Source organism: Homo sapiens, chromosome 15 (genome assembly GCF_000001405.40).
Source record: "Homo sapiens chromosome 15, GRCh38.p14 Primary Assembly".
Taxonomy (NCBI): Eukaryota; Metazoa; Chordata; class Mammalia; order Primates; family Hominidae; genus Homo; species Homo sapiens.
In genome coordinates, this window is record NC_000015.10 from 97,746,779 (window position 1) to 97,768,021 (window position 21,243).

A 21,243-nucleotide genomic window follows, 5' to 3' on the forward strand; every position below is an offset into this window, starting at 1 on the left:
TGTACGAATGGGTAGTGGGCCTTTCATTTGTCCTTTGATTATTTTAGGTGTGCTTTGTATCAGGGGAAATGTAATCTGGAGCTAAGCAAAGCAAAATTGTGACACATACCAGAGGGATCTGTTTTAAATGAGAATCAACAGAAATAAGGGGGGGAAAGTCCTGAGACAGGGTCATCAGAAAGATGAAGAGACAAAATCCGTCCATTCAAGAGGCTGCCCTCACTCTCACTCAGCCACCCCATCCCACCCAGTTCTAAGGCATTCTCAGAACCACCCAGATCCCAGTTGTGACAAATTGTTCCAAATAAAGATATTCACTCACTCAGCCATGTAACTATAGAGAATGGCAGTTATCATATTAACTGTCTTCATGAAAACATTTAATAACATAAAGCAATGATAAAGAATTTTGATGAATGCAGATATATGCACACATACCCAAATTTATAAAGCATTAAGTAGAACTCAAAAGTTGCTGCTGGCATTTTTAGCTCATGGGATTTTTCCTTAGAAATCTGGGAAGTTCATTGCCAGGCCCATAGGCTCTGCAATCCGAGAAAAGGCTGAATTTTCTTGTGCATGGAGGCATCCCTGCATCTTTGCAGAGATTTTTGACAGGGTCTCTGATCTGCAGGCTGCAGAGCCACCTTTTCGGGGCCACCTGCACACAGAGGGAAACACATTGCATGCCGAACTGCAGATGCAACAAGAGCTCCTGAAGAATCACACACAACTTCCTGGCGTCCCGTGGCTCTTCCAATAGGAAGGCAGGAAAGGAACATCCTCTAGACCTGAGTCAGACCTAGGAGGCTGCCCTCAGCTGACCCCGCCTTCCCCCAAGCTCCCAATGAGAAATTGCTCCAAAGTCCTCTACTTTAATATTATTATTTTATTATTAGCTCTCTAATATCTCCAACTTACCACATTTCAAGCATATGAAAATTGAAAACAAAACAACATATGGAGAGAAGATTTTTGTGGAATTGTCAACCGGTCTCCAGGAGCACAGAGCAACCATTTCTTAAGCAGTCTTATCCCTGGTATTTCTCAGTTCAAGTGGGAAGACTTTCAAATAATTTAGTATTGCATTAGGTAATATATTTGAGGACTAAGATGATAAATCGGCTATAATATTCCTTTAAAGTATTAAAGGTTCAAGGAAAAAAAAGATATTAAAGACAGATGCCAGTCAGGGAGCACATTCAGGGAAGAGAGGGAGGAGGCAGGATGTCCCTCTGCCTTCGCTGCTCCCTGAAACACAGTGCTGTCCTGAAGAGCCCCCACGGTGTCCTCCTTCGGCCCCCATCCTGCTGCATCCCTCCCCCTCCTCCCAGGACTGAAAACAAATTGTTTTGGGCTACAATACCCCGGGCTGTGCCTTGACCTGCATGGTACAGTGACACTGTGCGGCTTGAATTTTTACATACAGCTGCATAAAGCAATTTTCATGTAAATTTCTAGGTAAATCAGCCTGCAGTTGGTCTATTACAGGGACACATACACAAAAACCGTTAAGTTTGACAGAAGATTAGAAGTTGCCCTTGTTCCTTCCTACGCCTCTCTCTGTGCCTTCGACGATGTGTCTGAAATGGGAAAATGAGAATGCCTAAGCACCCCAAAGAAGCAGGACTCTTATCTTGGGACTGTGCCTCCCCAAGGCTGGGATGTGCTGAAATCAGAAAGGGCTTCTCTGGGAAAGAGAGAAAACTTGGTATGAAAATCAACCCTCAAAAGAGCAGCGAGAGCTGGGTAATTCTCTCTCTCTGCCTGGGAAAGACTGGGCCACCTTCCATTACCTGGCTTCTTCTCGATGAGGCGATGGACACAAATAAACAGCCACTGTGGGCCCCCAGTGGCCCCACCCACTCCTATGGATGCGGACAGGCCAGCTCAATTAGCTCACAGCAGGTGGAGAAGTTTCCAGGGTCAGAAGAGCAAATCAGTCCTTCAGAGGCACCTTTCCCTGGGAGCTGGGAGCCACCTCCCCTCCCTGCACAGCCAGCAACAGGAGTTAGGCAGGCGACCCAGCCATCTGGCAGCAGCCTATCTGGGCCCTCCATCTAAATGCGTTCCTGCCCAAAGGAGGCTCATTTCTTGAACATGTTCTTTTAAGGCAACAGCATACACAGAGCACAAAGTGGAAGATGTAACCAAAACCTGGCCCAGGATGTTTGTTTATGCAATCCTTAAATAATTCATCTTTATCCCTATTGAGCCCATCACAGCATGTCAAAAATAAATGTGTCGCCTTGGCCTATTGTTTGCAGCTCAGGATTGTCAAGCGAGAAGAAAATATTACAGAGACGGAGGGAGATACACGCAGGAGTGTGACCTTTAACTGCACTACCTATAACCAATCTCATCAAATTAAAGCACTGTATATTTTCCTTAATAACCTCTGATTAGGCTGGGGCTATGAGTGGACACGAACACCCGCCATTGCTATGCAGCGGGATGTCTGCTTAGCACCAGCAAAGCGTTTGGGAATAAGTGAGCAAAATGCTTTAATTTGATAGGGTTAGAATCCTGCAGGCTCTGGGGTGAAAGGTCTCCAACAGCTCCGCTCACACTGAATATGCAGAAATAAAAAAGTAAATTGCTTACATCTGCTGCAGGCGGCAGGGAAAATGATCTGATTGGATGGTCCGAGGGCTCTCCATCTCTTTTGGGTTAGAGAGAGGGTTTTAGAGCATCAAAAGCTTGTAATTGGAGTAATTCTGAATTAATGGACACACACACACACACACACACACACACACACACACACACACACACACACAACATTTTGAGGCAGCTGTTTGCAGAAGCCTGCCTGTTTAGGAATGCTTACAGATTGCAAAGAAGCAACTTCAAAAATAATCTTTTCTTCTCTCCAAATGAATCCTAACCATGGGTTTGAATTTGACAACAGGTAACAAGCACAACATTCTTATCTGTCTCATCCTCCTGCCACAGAGCCTGGGAGCTATCAGACCTACGTATCTGCTTGCCCACCATGTATATCTTCCTGAAATACATGTGCACTCCAGCTCTCCTTCATGCATAAGAAGATAATTCAGAAAGGGCTTCACCGGGATTCCTAGAAGTTGACAGAGAAAGCTTGGGTTTTGCCTTGCTTTGTGATGTGGGATTTAATCTGCGTATTTGATCAATAAGAATCAAAGGCAGGACTCAAGGTCTTTTGGGCACAAGCTGGTTCAGTTTCATGCAGGATGCCAGGAGGCAGTCTGCCGTGTCAACCCAATGCGTTCAGAGGACAGTATGAGGGAACCTGCCTCGCAGATGACATTAGGCCTGGCTCGATCTGCTATTCTCTGTGGGGTATGATGGCGACAATGAGGCTGAGGTTGCATTTTAACTGTTTGTATTTTATTTTATTATTTTATTAAGCTTACACCAGCTTGCAGATCTAAATGAGATCACCTAGTCCCATTGTCAGCAGGCTCCTGTCACATACTGAAAGCAACTGTGGCCTCCTGTGGTTGAGAGTGAGCCCCCAAGGAGGGAGATTTACTGAAACTGAACGGGCCGAGAGAATGCATCCTGTGAGGCAAACTTTCAAGAGCTATTTCTCAGCCAGGCATTGATCTGGGAAGGCAGGCTTGGCCAGACAAGCCGCGGAGGCTGAGATGGAGGTTCCCGAATACTCTTGGATGCATCAGCCTTATAGGGACATCTCCAAGCTCCTCTGACACTTCAGTTGTAAATGGGCTGATGTCTAAAATCAATTTTTTCCATAATTCTTGTTACTGTCCAAGACTCTTTGAAATTATCTGAATAGCCTATTGTGTTTTTACAAGGATCAGATTGATAGGTTTTACAATCCATAAACAAGCTAAATATTCTAGGTATCAAATCTCATACACACACACACCCCTCTCTCCCTATCAATAATTTTTTAAACATGGACAAAGTAATAGATTGGATACAAAACTGCACAAAACAGTCTGTGTTCATCCCTCTCCAGCAAACTCTATGATACATAGAAACAATGAGTCTTTTTAAATTTCTCGATTTTGGCACGATTGCCCAGGATTGGCCACAGAGATGCCCTGACCTGGTTTCTCTTAGTAGGTTCACTATGTGCAAAGTCCTTTCCTCTGTAAGGCACTGCCTCTACCAAATGGCTCAGCTCTGGTCTCTATCATTCTGAAATCTCCTTTGTCTGCCTGGGCGCTGCCACAGTCTATTGGAAGGTATTTGTCAACAATTATATGTCTATTAAAGAGTAGTCAATCAGTGTGGGCCCAAACAGCCAGGCCTCTAGGGTCTAGCTTTTGATAGGAAACTGTCAATATCCCATCCAGTCCATTTCTCAACAAACACACAGTCACCTACCCGAAATCATTGTCGGAGAAACAGGGAAGGCCTGCTTTCATTGCTAGGTCTCCGACTTCTTCACTTTCTGATCTAATGTTCAGTTTGAATAAAGAGAAGCCTTTAGACTTCTGCTGAATAAAAGATGTATATTAAAATGCTATGTAAACTGAGTGCGGGTAGATATTTAATACAATTAAGAATATTATGTGAAGACTGTACGTGTAGGTGGCTGCAATTATTCCTGAAAATCATAAAACCAGAAGAACGTTAATAAAGGATACTTTAAATTAGCTTGACTGTAATTAATATCTATAAATACCTTCCATTCCACAAGCACAAAGTTGAGAGTTATTTACCCAATTTAAGACAAAAGGTTGTGATAGTAGCCAATATAGCTTCATGTATGTTCAATTTACAGAACTTACTGCAGATTTTGTAATTATTATTATAAAGGGCTTGTCTTTTCTTGAAAGAAGAAAGACTGGGAGTTCCATGTGAATGTTTAAAACTAAAGCCCCCCCAAGCAAAAACCACAATGTAGAGGACGGGGAGGGGAGAAGAAAAGAAAGAAAGGAAGAAAGAGAGAAAAGAAACCCGAAGTAAGGCTGTATCCTTTGAACTAGCAACTCCCCTGCATCACAGAGTACACTAGTTGTCCTACAACAAAAGACGGCATCAAACTCTCTCCACAAAGGCCTGAGACACCCAACAATATTTAAAGCAGATGTAGTATTTAGCATCTCTGCACTATGTAAGACGCCCTTTTAAGATCTGTTAGAGCCAGGGTTTATAAAATTTATGAAAACAAACGTTTTCTCCTTTCCTTCGAATGTTTCCCTGGGATTTTTGGACTTTCAATGAGAGAGATATATAAACGCCAAGCTGGCTGTCCCAGAGTTCAGGTAGCACACGATTAAATCCGGAATTAATGCAGGAATAGGTGTGCCCCTCGGACTGAGCTTCTTTTTATTGTACTCCTTCCATTTTCACTAAAGCCAAATAATTCAGATCTAGGGAAAGAGCATGGAAAGGTCAAAATGAAGCCCAAATGTCCAGTAGAAGTTTTATAAGTTGCCATAAAGATATAAAATAAAAATTAAAAGTACTGAAATAAACTGAGATGCCTCCGGTTTCATGTAGAGTTTTTGCCCATTTTATTTCTGCTCTTCAGAATCAAAACAAAGTAGATTCAAGGTGCATGTTAATCAAATTACCTATGTCCTATCTGAAGAGTGTCCCCAATCCCCCAAGAACTTGGAAATCCTTTTTGCATTTTATGACCAGAACTTCATGGCATTTAATGCATATTTAGTTTTGCAGGTACTGTTGGTGTTCAAATCCACTTATAGATACTCAAATCTAATCTACCATGTAGATGTAACGTAGACCTGCAGTTCATTTTAGATGCTCGGAGCAGGGAAATTATAAATGGACTTCACAAAATGTTCCAAGAGCATTAATAGTGAAATGGACTGGGTCAGGAACCCAAGTCACAAAGGGTCTCTGAGTAGTTACTTCCCCAGCAGACGGCCATCGTTGCAAGGGGCAGCTGATCTCCTTTTTTGAAAGCTCCATTATGTGTATTTACAAAATAAACAATGCATGCAAGTTCATGATTGTCATCATTAATAATAAGCATTATAGCAAACCGTTAAATAAATATACATGCCATAGATGTCTGCCAGACCCATCACTCCTTTTTCTCCTACATCAGATCCAAGGCATTGTCTTTGTTGAATTAAAAAAAAAAAATCACTCTTCATGAAACAGCAGCAACAACAAAATAGAATCATTATTTAAAATAACTCACCAATGTTCAAATGCTCGGATTTTAAATCAGATAAGTCAGCAAGTTCAGAGTTGGGGTGAGAACTTGCTCTCATTAGTCTCACGTTTGCAAGACGCAACCACAAGCCAGGAATGTAAAATGTTCTCAGTGCTTCAATAATTAACTATTTTTCAAAGGAAAAGACAAGTAAATAATATGATGTTTTATGAGTTCAAGTTGAACAACTTGTGTGCTGTGCAATACTTCTATCATGATACTCTCCAAAAAATTGTTTTATGAGCATAATATTTGCTTACTGACAAATTCTGTCACATCAAGAGATTTTTTTAAAAAAACGCAACGTACCTTTGAGTTTCAATTTGATAATCTAGAAATCAGTATACAACTGTTCAGATATCTTAGCAAGTTTCTTATTTAAAGCAAGTCTCTAAAAGTTTTACATTACATGTTCATTAAAGAAGTACATATGATTCCAGCCTCTCATTAAATAATATTCAATTTTAAAAAAAAGAAAGCAAGAAAAAGTATTCCTTAAAGCAGTACTTAACTGATAAAAATTTATATATTAAAGAACTAATGCTTGCATGAAAGAGCTTAAATTTTACTTTGTTACATTTTTAACCCATGCAGAAACACTGAAGCAAGAAAAAAATGTACAACATATTTTTATACGTTGTTTCTACACATATAGGAAGAATAATATATGTGTCTGTGTGTGCTTGCGGCCTGTGTGTGTGTGTGTACATATGTATATAAAATAGAAAAAGAACATTAGCGTTATTTGCTAAAATAAAAAAGAACATTTAGTCCTGTCTGAGTTTTTCCTTTAAAGGGTGATATAAAGATTTTGTAGGGAAAATTCATAGATGACCATTAGTTATGATTATTTTACTAGCTAAAGAAGAAATTCTTTGATAGTTCTAGATACCAGCACGTTACTTTCTTTTTACATAGAGCTTTTTGTTATGGGAGTAACAAGAAAAATTTTCAGACATTCGTTTCATAATTCTTGGCCAAATTTCCATCAGCAGAAGAGCAAATTTGTTGATGACTAAGCAGAGATTCAGAAAGCCCAGGGACCTGGCGAGGGTCACACAGCCTTTCTGTGATAGGGCGTTGATCTCCCAGCTTCCATTCACTCCATAGGGGAGTACAACTCTGTTCATGGATCCCATCAATTGAAATAAAAACGAGAGCGAGAAAGAGAGAGAAAGAGGGAGAGAAAATGAATGGGAAAAAGAACGTGCTTGAATGGACTGTATGGTTTGCATGAGACTCGTGCAGAAATTGATATTTTGCCTGTTTTTTTTGTCTCAGAGATAATCTTAGAAAATGTCTGCCTAAGCTTCTATCAGGGGTGTCCCAAAACTTGGAAATTAGCTTCTCACAGTCCTGGAGAGTCCCAAAATGTTAGCAAATTAAAACAATTTGTCTCCCTGGAAGCCCGGGGTATATTCACTGCTTAGAATTGAAGAGGAATAAGGGACCCACATGTGCTTTTGTGACTAACTGCTCTCCACAAACAACTTTTTAGACAGGCAGCCAGCCTAAATACGCTGCTCAGAGTTAGATGGGAAAAAGGTGTTGCTATGCTAGATACTTAAGAACCTAACACACAAGAATATCATGCTACACTTTCTGAAAAACAAAAAAAAGTGGGGAAGGGGTGGCATCAGCATTATCTTCCTCTTTCCAAATTAAACATCAACATGTTTTATTTTCCACATGTTTTGGACATACATCCACTTTTAAAGAATATTTATTAAGGCTTGTGTGTCTAAAAATACAGGCCCTTCCTCTATTACAAAATTCCCCAAAAAATTCAAAGGGAGAGAAAAATCTCACACAGATAAAAATCTCCCAAGCTGACCATTCCTGAACAAACTTTATTTTACAAACTACTAGGAAAAAATAATTAATTCAGCGCATTTATGAAGAATGCACACTTTTATTTTAAAATTCATAATGTCTAAGTACAAAAAGGTGCTAGTATAAAGAAGAAAATAAGATTTTTCAATGCAATGCTTCATAGAAATATTTTCTATTCAATTCAGTCATGTATTTTTAAAATTTTACACAAAATTAGTATATCACATTTTGGAATTATTTAAAACAAACCAGACCTTTCATTTACACACACACACACACACACACACACACACACACACACACACACTTCCTACCACAAATTTCTAGAGGCCAATAAAGAAACAGCATGGTAGCATTCAGGCAACATAAAAGTATTTGTTACTCATTATCGTCTATTTAATTAGGAAGTATTATTTCCTGTTTTTCAAATCAGCAATTTCTCTCTGAACAATAGATTAGGATACACCTTCCAATAATAATTAGAAAAAAATCATCTACTTCCAGCATATTGAAGGGTGAAAGTCCAGCTGCCACTGGTAAAATCTATGGTATCCTACCGCCATCTACTGACCATTGCTCAAATATTATGATTTAAAGGTACAGGTTTAAATTTATAAAATTAAGGAATTTTCAAAAGAAAACACTTTGAAAGCTCTACTGGAACAACTCATTACTCTGGCAGTTGTTCCAAATGTTTGAAAATACTTCCCTAATCTGAACCGAACTCGATCTACCTGTAAATACCACCTCCTGGGCTTTGCCTTGGCCTCCACTGGTATAAAGAGGATGCTGATTTTCTCTTAAACTCTTCAGAATTCGGAGGGCAATGCTCAAGCCCTTCCTATCTCTTCCCACCCACCCACCCAACACACACACACACACACACACACACACACACTGTCTCTCTCTCTCTCTCTCTCTCTCTCTGTTTCTGTTTCTCTCTCCCTCTCATTCGCTCAGTCCCTTCTTCAATCTAAGCAGCCTACCTTTCTTTATTAGCTCCACATCTGATGTGGTTTGAAGTCCCATCAAAAGCCAGATAGCTGTCCTCTGAACAAACTCTTTCACATACTTTTCTCATTAAATGCTGCATCTGAAAGAAAATACTCCGCAGAATAGATAGAGCACCTCCCTTTGCATGCTCTACCTTTGTCAATGCAACCAAAGGTCACAGTCAATATTTTGGCAGCTATACACACCATGTAATAACTTGCACTCAGGAAATCTCCTAGATCTTTCTATCTGTGCTACTGGCTGCTAAGCTATGCTCCCCTAATAGACATATGCAGTTGTATTTTTGAAACTAAGAAAATATCCATACATTCATTCAGTGATCTAAGATATATTCTTATTGGTGATGGTTCATGGTTCCAGCCTGTCATACATTTGTATCCTAATTCTGCTATCTTTTCCAATTTCATAGTGGTCTTGTATCTGTTATTGATCAATATTATTTGTGTAGTTATTTATTTTTCAGACAGAGTCTCACTCTGTTGCTCAGGGTGGAGTGCAGTGGCAGGATCACAGCTCACTGAAGCCTTGACCTCTCAGGTCCAAGCAATCTTCCCACCTCAGCCTCCGAAGTGGCTGAGACCACAGGCATGCACCACCACGTCTGGCTAATTTTATTATTATTTATTTAACTTACCATCAGCTACTCCCCTCCAAACCACTTTTCTGTATTTCTCTGGACATCCTCCAGTATGATCAGTATGGGAAAAGTTTCAAGGATGTCATTCAAGTGCTTTGTGCAGTGCCTAGCACATGACAAAACCTTGATGTGACAGCTCTTCCTATGATTATCATCAATAAAAATAATTAGTACAAATATATGATACAAATTAAATCTATGACATAAATAACCACGAAACAAGTATCAGTTCTAATAATACAATCATTCAATCAATTGTCATTTGCAACTGAAGCTCATCTTCTGCCCTTTCTGCTCTTCACGTAGGCAAAGGAGATCCTCTCCTCCAGCAGGACCCTCAGCTCCCAGAGGACATCATCTTAGCAGGAGTCTCAGTGCTTTTGGACAATTAGGAATCCTCTTGCAAAATGTCCCTTCCCACTGCCCCCATCTTGGCTTCAGATCTTCTCCTAAGAGACATTCTTCCTATTGAGGAGGAAGCCACATTCTGAATCAAAGAGAAGGTGGAAGCAGAAGAGAAGAGAAAGAGCCTGCGTCTTCCGCCCAAGCTCTGCAGCAACTTTTGGAGCCACTGAGCTGAGCCAGGACCTCTGTCTGCTGCTGGCTCCACCCTTTGCCGTGAAGGCATCAAGCAGGTGACACCATGTCCCTGAGCCTGTCTCAGCGCATCCTGGGACTGGCACAGACTGACACAGCTCCGGTATACAGTCCACGTTTTCTGTTCCTTGGCACAACCCAGAATGAAGATGTTTAGGTCAGAGTTATTTAGTTTTAATAAAACCCTGTATGTACTGGGATCAAATAACTCATTTTTAACTCCTGAAAATTGGACCAATATTGACAGCTTTTGCTTAATCCAGAACAGCTCATTGAGAAAGGGGTCAATATCTCTCCCACTAGGAAAAAAAGACAAATTGAACATTCACCAAAATTTCAATATTTCGTTAAAATAAATGAGTTTTTAAATACTAAAAACAAAATTCAATGGTTTAAAAAGTCCATTGATGTAGGAAAACCCAAAAGTCACCTAACAAGTAAAACAATCCTCTTCTGATACATGTCATAAGAACCAGCTAAGACTTCCAACCTCTGGCTAAATGTTAGGGCCTGGAACAGCACATTTTTATAACAAAGTTATAAAATAGATGGGAACCAGAAATAAGAGAAACAGGCACTAATGAAGGCTGATTTCAAAAAATACCTTATTTGGGCACTCTGGCAGGGGCAGCCAGAGAGTGGAGCTCTCTCAGACGGCTGGTCTCCTCGCCTGATTTCCAGAGGTCTCTAAGGCGCTGGGACTGGCAGTCTGGACCTAACTGCAGACCGCAGCCAATGCAGATCCTCCAAGGCCAGCACCAGCAGCCATACCTGACACACAGGAAGACTTGCAAAAATGCAATGGAAACAGCAGGTGGAAGTTTCCATGTTTTCTGCTATATGCCCCTCTCTCCTGCTTCAGTCTCCTATCATGAGCCTGCACTAATGAAACCAAGTAATAGGTCATTGTTCTCCTTATACTGTACTACTTCTTCCCCCTTCATCCAAGTTCCTCCAAACTCCTAGGCTCATTCATTCACCTTTCCGAGCCTCTCTCTTTCTCTCTCTTACTCTTGCTCTATCTCTCATTCTCTTTCATTGAAGTTTTGTTTTGAAATCCATATTTCATGTTATAGAATTATAAATGAAAACACATTTTAAGAAAGAAAGACCTGAGCTTCCTGCTTTACCACACCCGGTTTTTCCCTAGAACTCTTAACTCCATTGATTTTTCCCTTTCAGCAGTTACTTCTATAATCTCTAAAGATGTTGTTTGCACAGGTACTGCTATTTCTTGATGTATCTACTTTAGACATTATGTATTTCTTTTATGCCCTTGCTTTCATTAAACATAAACTTGGTTTAGTAGGGCTTTTGTCTATTATATTTTGTGCTCTATCTGAGGATGTATTTGGAGCGACTACAAGTTTTGCTATTTCTGTCTTCCATTTTTTCCCAAAGAAGTAGCAGATGGAAAGCATAGATATAGGTGCTTCCTCATCTGGGAATCTATTAAAGTATGCATCTTCATCCTGAAGTGCTTACCAAACAAATCCTCTCCACTTAAACAGCCATCAGGATCATCCCATTTATTCTGAGGAAGAAAAACTGAGGAAAACTCCATTTTTCTATTACAGCTATCATAGCTGAGATTGCTTCATTTTTTCCAGCTTTAAGTTCACTTTTCAGCTTTAAGTTCATCTTTCTATGTCCTCATCTATAAGAGAAAAAAATAGATTACCATGACACTAAGATGCCACAATATTTAAGGTTTCAAAAGAATTAACTTAGATTAATAGGAATTCAAGTAGCACAGAGAACAATTTTTAACAATAGTGCTTGAAATCAAAAGGGGATCCTGATTAACTGTGCATCATTGTGGAAGTTTGTTACTGAGGAGTCGCCACTCACTTTGGGGCCTACTGTTTATGCCTGACTTGCGGGGACACAGCCCAGAGACAAAACACTCAGAAAAGCAGACAAAGGGCTGCTCATTCTTTAATGTCTCCCGAATCTTGCTTCCTCCAAGACAGGCACCACATGGCATGAAAACCACTCCTCCGGCTGGGCGCGGTGGCTCATGCCTGTTATCCCATCACTTTGGGAGGCCAAGGCGGGTGGATCACGAGGTCAGGAGATCGAGACCATCCTGGCTAACATGGTGAAACCCCCGTCTCTACTAAAAAATACAAAAAATTAGCCGGGCGTGGTGGCAGGTGCCTGTAGTCCCAGCTACTCGGGAGGCTGAGGCAGAAGAATGGCGTGAGCCCGGGAGGCGGAGCTTGCAGTGAGCTGAGATCGCGCCACTGCACTCCAGCCTGGGTGACAGAGCAAGACTCCGTCTCAAAAAAAAAAAAAAAGAAAACCACTCTTCCACACCCCACACACATTCCCAGATACACAGGGCGCCCAAAATGTGTACAAGTACACCACACGGCTTCCATTAGAAAATCAAATTTGTCTTGTTTTGTTTTAGTGAGAATGAAAAGAACCAAAAAGCCAATAAACAAGCACACACACACACACACACACGGGCTCACACATATGCACAAATGCAAGCAAACATGCACACACACACATCTATGTATACACTGTGACTCAGCAGCAATTGTGGCTTTAATGGAGGAAACCACAATCTGTGAGACATATTTGAAAAAAAAGGAAGCAGTTGAATTGGAATGGGGTTATTTTCCTTGGGAAGATGCCTAGCAGAGTGTTTGACAAATGATTGGCATCCTATGTACGGCTTCTCTCCATATCACTTTTTCTAAGAAGCCTAGTTTTTTTAACTCATGCAAACAAGAATCCCTCATATTTTGAATAAGAGGTTGTCTATAAGAGGCCGCCCAAAATTTTGGCATAACAAGCTAAAGTTGAGAACCTCCTAACTTTCAACAACAAATAAATAAAACAGAGCTAAAAAAAAATCCATCCATTTTGCTTATCTGTTAAATGTTGGAAAAATTTTATGTGCTAAATAAAATTTGATTTTATTTTTTATTTCCAAAGCAGTAACACTCAATGTTCATGAGGGTTCAGGAAATTTTCTAGAAAATTATTCAGTCTCATAGAACATCAGTGGAAGGGAAATGCTACGGCTTTTCCAAAAAGCGGTTTGGTGATACGCTTCAAAGGTGCCCAAAATGTGCTTCTCCTTGATCTATAAAATTCCATTGTTCAAATTGTATACTAAAACACGCCAATCGGCTCTATAGAAAGATTTGTATTCAAAAATGTTTGCTATGGAATTATTCACAGTGATTTCAACAGTAAGAAAAACTATATACATATGCAAATAGGACAAGGAATGTATAATAAAGACCTGAGCTTCATGCCTCACTGCAGCCCAGTTTTTCCCCCAGGACTCTTAATTCCCTTCATTTTTTTCTTTTTAATAAAAAAATGAGAAAAAATATGTATGTATAATCATTGTTGGATATAACAACAAGGGGTATTTGTGGTGCATCTTTATGATGACACACTCCACAGCCAAAGATGGCATTATGGATATTTTATTTAATAAAAAGAATGTTATGGTATATAGTTAAGCAAAGAAGGTCATTTACAAAATAGCATATTTCACATGATTTCTGTTTTGTTAAAAATAACATGCATAGTATTTCTAGAACTTCCAAAAGGTAATGCCTTTATAGTAGGATTCAAGACATTCTTCTTTCTCTTTTTGTATAGGTGTATGTTCCAAATCTCCTCTGATGAATTTATACAATTTTATTATGAAAATATTACTAAAGAAAAAATAAAAATATACATAATAACAGCTGATTAAGTCAATGAGAGCCAGTGTAAGTGCTGCATGGGGAAACGTCAGTGATAGGAAAAAAAACTAGGGGAAGACAGCTCCTTAGAGTTTTGGAATAAAGCCAACAGAGTCCTCTAGTTACAATTATGGCCAAATTTTAAAAGCACCTTATTCTTTTCAATCTCTCTTCCTTCCTAGACTGCAGCTGTCTTCAGGCAACCTATGAGTAATTAAAATGCGGCCCATGGACAAGCTTCCATATTTTGATAAATACATGTTGATAAAGGCAGACAGAGAAATGAATACGTGTTTCTTGTGAAAATAATCCTCTCCAAACATGCTGTACTGCTTCCTTGTAACTCTGCAGTTGTGGTAGATTGCTAATATACTTTTGATTAAGAACAATATTTGTATCATATATCATCCACTTAAAAGAAAAAAAAAAAAAGCTCTGGCCCCATAAGACAATCGTATGTAGAAATCTTGGCCTTAGTTCCCTGTGAATTAGACGCCCTGTTCTCCAATACTGGGCAGGAGCCAGTTGTGCTGCAGAAGTGGAATCAAGCGCAGTGATTTCTAACACATTAGGAATCCCGACACCTCCGAATGAGTTGCTATTCCAGCATAAGCATTGCCTGTGAAATCTGTCTCCAAATTATGAAGGTAAAGATGTCTTTGGTATAATGGCTAAGTTAAACTTGAACCAACATGTCCTAAATATGCAGGTTTCCTGAGGGCTGGGGAGGTTTGGGTGCTGAGAATGGTGAGCAAGAGCATTTTCTTAAAACTGCAGTGGGATATTTCAACAGAAATTTCAGCCATAGCCTGACACCATAAATACCAGCTTCCAAAGCGATATCTCAGAATGGATGGAACATTTTCAAAAAGTTTGCTAAAAATTGGTCGCAAAATATTTAATACTTCACGTAGATCGTGGACATAAAAGGACCTGGAGTATTTCTGAATCTGACCACCATAGATTTGGCAGATAAGACACAAAACGTCCAATTCACTTTGAATTTCAGATAAAGAATGATTTTGTTTTAGTATCAGTATGTCCCAAATATTGCATGGGACACATTTATACTATTTTTTTCTTATTTATCTGAAATTGAAAAATAATGGGCATGTTTCCCCAACTCCAATCCTGGCAACCCTTTATCACTACCTCCTGGAGAAAGAGGCTTGAGTAACCCAATGCATATAGCTGAAATGTGAGTCTGGATAGCTTAAATGTGTGTCTCTGTTGTTTGGGGCCACAGTGCCTAGGCTGGTTTCTCTGATGGCGGAACATGGGAGTGGCTGATGCTATGTGGGCACAGACTTGCACCCCAGAGTTTGTTAGGAGAATGAATCCTTGATATTTCCTGTTGTCCAGCTGTGATCCACACAGGATAAAGGTCTAGGCTTGCCTTAGATACATGACAGAGGGTCACCAGGAAAGAAGAGAACTTCAGTAGAAAGTGGTCGGAAGCAGCGAGGAAGTCACAAGTGATCAGTTGAAGCAGGGGGTTATTAAACCCACCAAGAGAGAACAATTGGTGAGAGGGGCTCAGAGATGTGTGTGTGTGTGCGTGTGTGTGTCACTGTGTGTGTGTGAGATAGATAGATAGATAGATAGATAGATAGATAGATAGATAGATAGATAGAGGATAATCTCAGAATAGAATATTTTAAATATATGCCAAGATCAGAGAGTACAGAGCTGGGTGACCAGGTCAGTAACAGTCAGGTAAGAAGTCACCTGTAAAACTAGCCAGGTGTGGTGGTGTGCACCTGTATTCCCAACTACTCAGGAAGCTGAAAAGTATCCCTTGATCCCAGGAGGTAGAGGCTGCAGTGAGTCACGACTGCACCAGTGCACACTAGCCTGGGTGACAGAATGAGACCCCAGCTCTTAAAAAAAACCCACCGGTTTTTCTGTTGGTCTTAATTCTTTTCCTTGCTATGACTCCAATCCTGTCAGCCTCATAACCATTCTGAGCTACAGGGAGGAGGAAGCACAGAGAATCTCGTGGGATGAGAAGGAAGTCGGCCCGACCTCCCGGCCATCTGGTCAGTGGTCAGCATGAAGTGAGACAGAGATAGAAGAGGAGAGGAATGCTGAAGAAAGAATATTTTCTCATGATTAACAGGACTGGACATTTAAATAATTAAATTGACGTAGTGCTTTTGTGACTCTAGTGGTTGCAGAAACTAACAGCGATAAGCAAAATCATGGATGAACCACAGATGAACTATGCAGAGTGGATTTAAAGGTAAATGGGAGACAAAAATACAGCACCCATGAGCCCTGCTTGTTGAAGGTCAAGACTACATTTATTTTTTAAGGTTCGGGTGCATCATAAGAAAACTATGATTATTTGAGGATTATATTTTGTCATTATTTTTAATTTAAGGTTTCAACTACAGTAGCCGTGATTTCTTGACTTTTCCTGGATTTGGATGACATAGGTAACATACAAAAGAAAAAAATGGTGGCATGATAACATATAAAAGAAAAAATGGCCGCGTGCGTCTCAAATTGGTAAGACTGAAGTCTTTGCTATTGGTTGTAACCATTTGTTACTAGAATAGATTTCATTTTACTTCAGAAAGGGTTCCCACTATAATCTACACCCAGGAAGTTGAGGAGAAAGGAACCGAATATTATTTGGCCCCATGTAGTGTATGCTTTATCTCGGTTTATCCTCACAATAACTGGTTGAGTCCATTATTCCCAACGGACGGATACAGAAACTGAGGCTGGAGTAGCTTACCTGGCTAGATTCAAGGTCAGAGTGATCCTCTGAGGGCTCTATCCACCAGTGTTGCCATTATCTGCCACAAGAACAGACGGCCACAGTCTGAGCACCGTTGTCTTTGACCAGTGGGAAAGACTCCACCTATACATCTCCATCAGCTGTCCTGGGAGGACTGGCCCTCAGAAGCGCTACTGCCTGAAACTCCTCTCCGGCTCCCTTGGTCCATGTGTTTACTGCACCCCACTCCACCTCAGCCCACAAAGAAGTCCATAAATGGGGTATAGAGTTAGTCTGAGTTCTGAACCCTGAAACTCAAGAAGGCAGAGTGACAGCAGGACAGCAGCCCAGGACTGACTAGGGCTAACCTACAACCAAGAGTGTGTGGGAGCGGACAAGGCCCAAATGCTGTGCAGCCGCAGATTGCATGTCTGAGAATGAGGTAGTCGGACTCTATGCTCTCAAAGTCTCTTTCTGCCAGAAAACCCAAGACTTTTCCTCTCCCTAGAGAACTGGAAAGATCAACTCACATTACAGCAGAAATAACCCAAAACCCAAAACCGAACATCTTTGCCCAGTGACCTTTCTGCAGGGGTCAGGCCAAGAGCAAGACTTCCCTAGACTCCCTCCTCAGGGCTTCTTAGTGGTCAAGTAAGACCTAGGACACTTTAATTCTTTTTAATTTTTTAATTGAGAAATGCCAAAATAGATTTATAAAAATTATAACAAATATTAATAGTTTACATTTAAAAATTAAGTAAAATGATAACATTTCTCATGAACCTTATCAATATATCTGTGACTGTAGGTATGATCTTATATGGAAATCACCCCACAAGTCTAAAGTTAAGGCCCCACCTGAATTAGGGACTGTCCTGTACTTGCCTTATGATGGGTCTTGTTCCTGAGGTTCTAACAGACACTAAAATATTGAAGTTTATTTCGCCACTTTTCAAAATGAAAATGCCAGCAGTTATCCAGCAGTTTCTTATCCCAAATCATATATCCTAGAGTTGAAACATCTGAATTGTCCACAGACGAGACTCTTCCCATCATTAGCCATAATTTGTTCTAGAGAACTGTCAAAGGTATGGCCTCTGGTTTTCACTCCCTCATGAGGGATAATTATTCCTGAAATCATTGTGAAATTAAAGTAATGGGTCACAAGAAATATATCAAAGTAAACTCGGAGAGCTGCAGGGAGGTAAAAGTAATAGTAAGAATTATAAGAACAGCTGTACCAATTGATGTTACTAGTGGCCAGCGAGCATGTATGAAGGTTAACCACATGGACTTTGGAATCAGACAGATTTGAGCTCAATTCTTACTTGGGAGTTATATGTAAATACTTCCATTTCACTAATGTCCTTTTGTCAATCATGAAGAGTTTTGTCAGGGTTAAAGATAATCTGGCATGGTGTCTGGTGTCCTGAAAATATGCAACAAATATTAGTCATTGCTATTCTTGCCATTGACAGTATTGGTGGTGGTGGTAGCAGTAGTAATAGAAGGAGTAGGAGCAGGAAGAGAAGGAGTGGTGGTAGTAATAGTGATGAGAAAATATAAGAAAACCAGTGTCTTCTATCAGCTCATGCCTAAATAAGCACGCAAGAGTCTCACACAAAATAATTAGGAATAAAAGAGAGCACACAGAAGGACTATAAGTAGTTGAAGACATTTTAAGACCGATGACAGAGCCTTAAGGGTGAAGAGGAATTGGTTGAGCACAAAAGAGTTGGGAAGTATACTGAGCATCGGATACTCCTGGCACAAGGAGAGTTTGGAAGATTGGAAGGAGCCCAGGGTGCCTGGTTGAAACAGCACCATGGGAAATAAATTCATGAACCAATATCACCCCTTTCCTCAGTGCCAGCTTCAGGACCAGGAACTTAGTGGCCAAGGCAGCAGGGAGCCCCACTGGCTGCCAGTGATATCTGTTATTATTCATTTATTTGCTCATTCAATAGACATGGGTCTCTAGAATGTGCCAGGCCCTGCAATGTTGCAACCAAGCAGTGAAAAAAGGCCTCCTGCATTTGCTCCAACACCAGCACTAGTTTAGCATCCACTGAGTTCCTATAAGCTACCCTTGCCTTGAATTTCTCCAATACCCCAGCCATCTCAAGTCCTTTGAGGCCTCCTCTTGATGTGGTATTGTCTCAAGCCCTCTACAGCAGTGTTATGGGTTAAATTGTACCTTCTCAAAAAGATGTATTGGAGTCATAGCTCCCAGGATCCCAGAATGTCACCTTATTTAGAGACAGGGCCTTAGCAGATGTAACTAAGTAAAAATGAGGTCATTAGGATGGCTTCCAATCCAATATAACTATTGCCCTTATAAGGGAAATTTGGACAGAGACATACATAGAGGGAAAACAATATGACAATACACAGTGTAAGGACAGCCCTCTACAAGCCAAGGAGAGACAGCTGGAACAGACCTCACAGCCCTCAGATCGAACCAGCTTCTCATAATCTTGGACTTCCGGCCTCCAGAACTACGCAACAGATTTTTGTGGTCCAAGCCACCAGTTTGTGGTACTTTGTAACGGTAGCCCTAGAAAACTAATACAAATGGGAATCTTCCTCTAAAAGACTTATTAAAATATCTGTTTTTAATTTTACTTTTAAAGAGCCATCAGAGCTGTGACATTGGTGCAACCACCCTTGGATTTAGCCCGTAAGTTCTCTATGTTTCCCCACCTGGAATATTCTTCTGGTTTCTGACTTCTCAGTGATCTTCTCTTCTTCAAAACCCAAGTCAGACATCACATGCCCTGAGAGACATCCCTGGTTCCCCATATCCCGTAAGAACATTCCTTTTTCTGCTGTCCTCTGCAGAACTTGTACTCAGCTTCTCTGTTATCTTTTTTGTTCATAAGTCTTCCTTCTCCACCAGATTAGGGATTTATTGAGATCATAGTCTCTTCATCGACTTTGTTCCCCCAACAGAGGAGCTGATACACAGTAGGCACTGACGATGTTGTAACAGCACACATGTAAATGGATCATTAGCGACTGCCGTCACTGTGAGGCAACTGTGACTTCCAGATAGGCATAAATTATAAAAGAATCATTAGGGCTGGAGAAAGAAGCATAAACTCTTGTCAACAAATCCTTGGACAACAGACCTAGAAAGACACCATCTATCCCTTAACAGGGGTGTAGAGAATAAATAAAAATACGTGCTTCTTGATTTTGTGTTTAATGTGATATTGTATTAGCAGCCCCTGTCACAGTTGTTTCTGACTGAAATAGGAGGACTCAGAAGTAAAAAAATGTTCCTAGATCACTCAGTGATCATCCCTTTCCTGTGTGCTTGTGGTGGCCTCTAGAGTCAATTCTTCTTCTGAGTCCATCACCACTAATGCTATTCCCATATCAATCAAAAACTAAAACGTAATAAAAGAATTGCTTTCTAGGGAGTATAGTTTGACCAAATAAAAATGGGGGCTGGGCGTGGTGGGTCATGCCTGTAATCCCAGCACTTTGGGAGGCCAAGGAGGGCGGATCACGAGGTCAGGAGATCAAGACCATCCTGGCCAACACGGTGAAACCCCGTCTCTACTAAAAATATAAAAAATTAGCCGGGCGTGGTGGTTGAGTACCTGTAGTCCCAGCTACTCAGGAGGCTGAGGCAGGAGAATGGCGTGAACCCGGAAGTCGGAGGTTGCAGTGAGCTGAGATCGCGCCACTGCACTCTAGCCTGGGCGATGGGGCAAGACTCCGTCTCAAAAAAAATAAATAAATAAAAATAAATAAATAAATAAAAATAAAAATGGGATAGAAAAGGACAGAGAAAGAGAGAGAACATGAACTTTATCTATTCAGAATGACAGATAACCAGGCAGTTGTGGTAGAGTGACTTCCAGGTCAGTCAAAGAGCTAAGACAGACTGGTCATTCCGTGAATCATGGGTTTAAGGTGACCTCCCAAAGGGTCATGCCTTTTTATATTCCTCTTTCCTAGAGTGCAGGTGGAACCTATGACTTGCTTCTATCCAATACGGCAAAGGTGAAAGAAAAGATGTCATTCCTCAGATTAACTTATGAGATTGTCTGGTGTGTATGGCTGGGGGCAGCAGGGGGTACGCTCTGAGAAGAATAGAGTTGAGAGAGAAAGATGCTGCTGGTGACCTTGAAGAAGCAAAAAGTCATGTTTTGAACTACGGAGAGGGTCACATGGCAAGAAACCACAGGGTAGTAGGTAGAGACGAGGAGGCAGGCTCTAGAACCTACGGGCAGTTTTTAGCCTCTAGTCAGTAAAAAGGCAGGGATCTCAGCCATACGAGAAATAGACTCTGCCACCAACCTGGATGAGCTTGGAAATGAATTCCTCCCTATGAGACTGCAGCCCAGCCATCACCTTGACTGCGACCTTCTGAGACACTGAACAGAGGACACAGCTAAGCTGTATCCAGATTCATGGCAATTGTGAGATAGTAAATGTGCATTGTTTTGAGCCACGAATTTGGTAGTAAGTTGTTGTGCAGAAATAGAAACTAATTTGTCATAGTACATGTCAACTCATTCTTGAAATATAGATCTGAAAAGGACAATGATTGGCACCCAAATTG

The 21,243-nt window shown here is 40.7% G+C and overlaps 1 long non-coding RNA gene across 2 annotated transcripts in view; it reads right to left on the reverse strand.

The window, feature by feature from the left end:
• Window positions 1–21,243, reverse strand: part of LINC00923 (long intergenic non-protein coding RNA 923) — a 131,814-nt gene that overhangs the window by 4,163 nt on the left and 106,408 nt on the right. The window contains exon 2 of one of the 2 annotated variants that reach the window (NR_024172.1): window positions 11,712–11,883. The exons of the other annotated variant lie outside the window; for it this stretch is intronic. This is a non-coding gene — a long non-coding RNA (long intergenic non-protein coding RNA 923). The remainder of the gene's footprint in view (window positions 1–11,711; window positions 11,884–21,243) is intronic. 2 annotated transcript variants of the gene reach the window in all.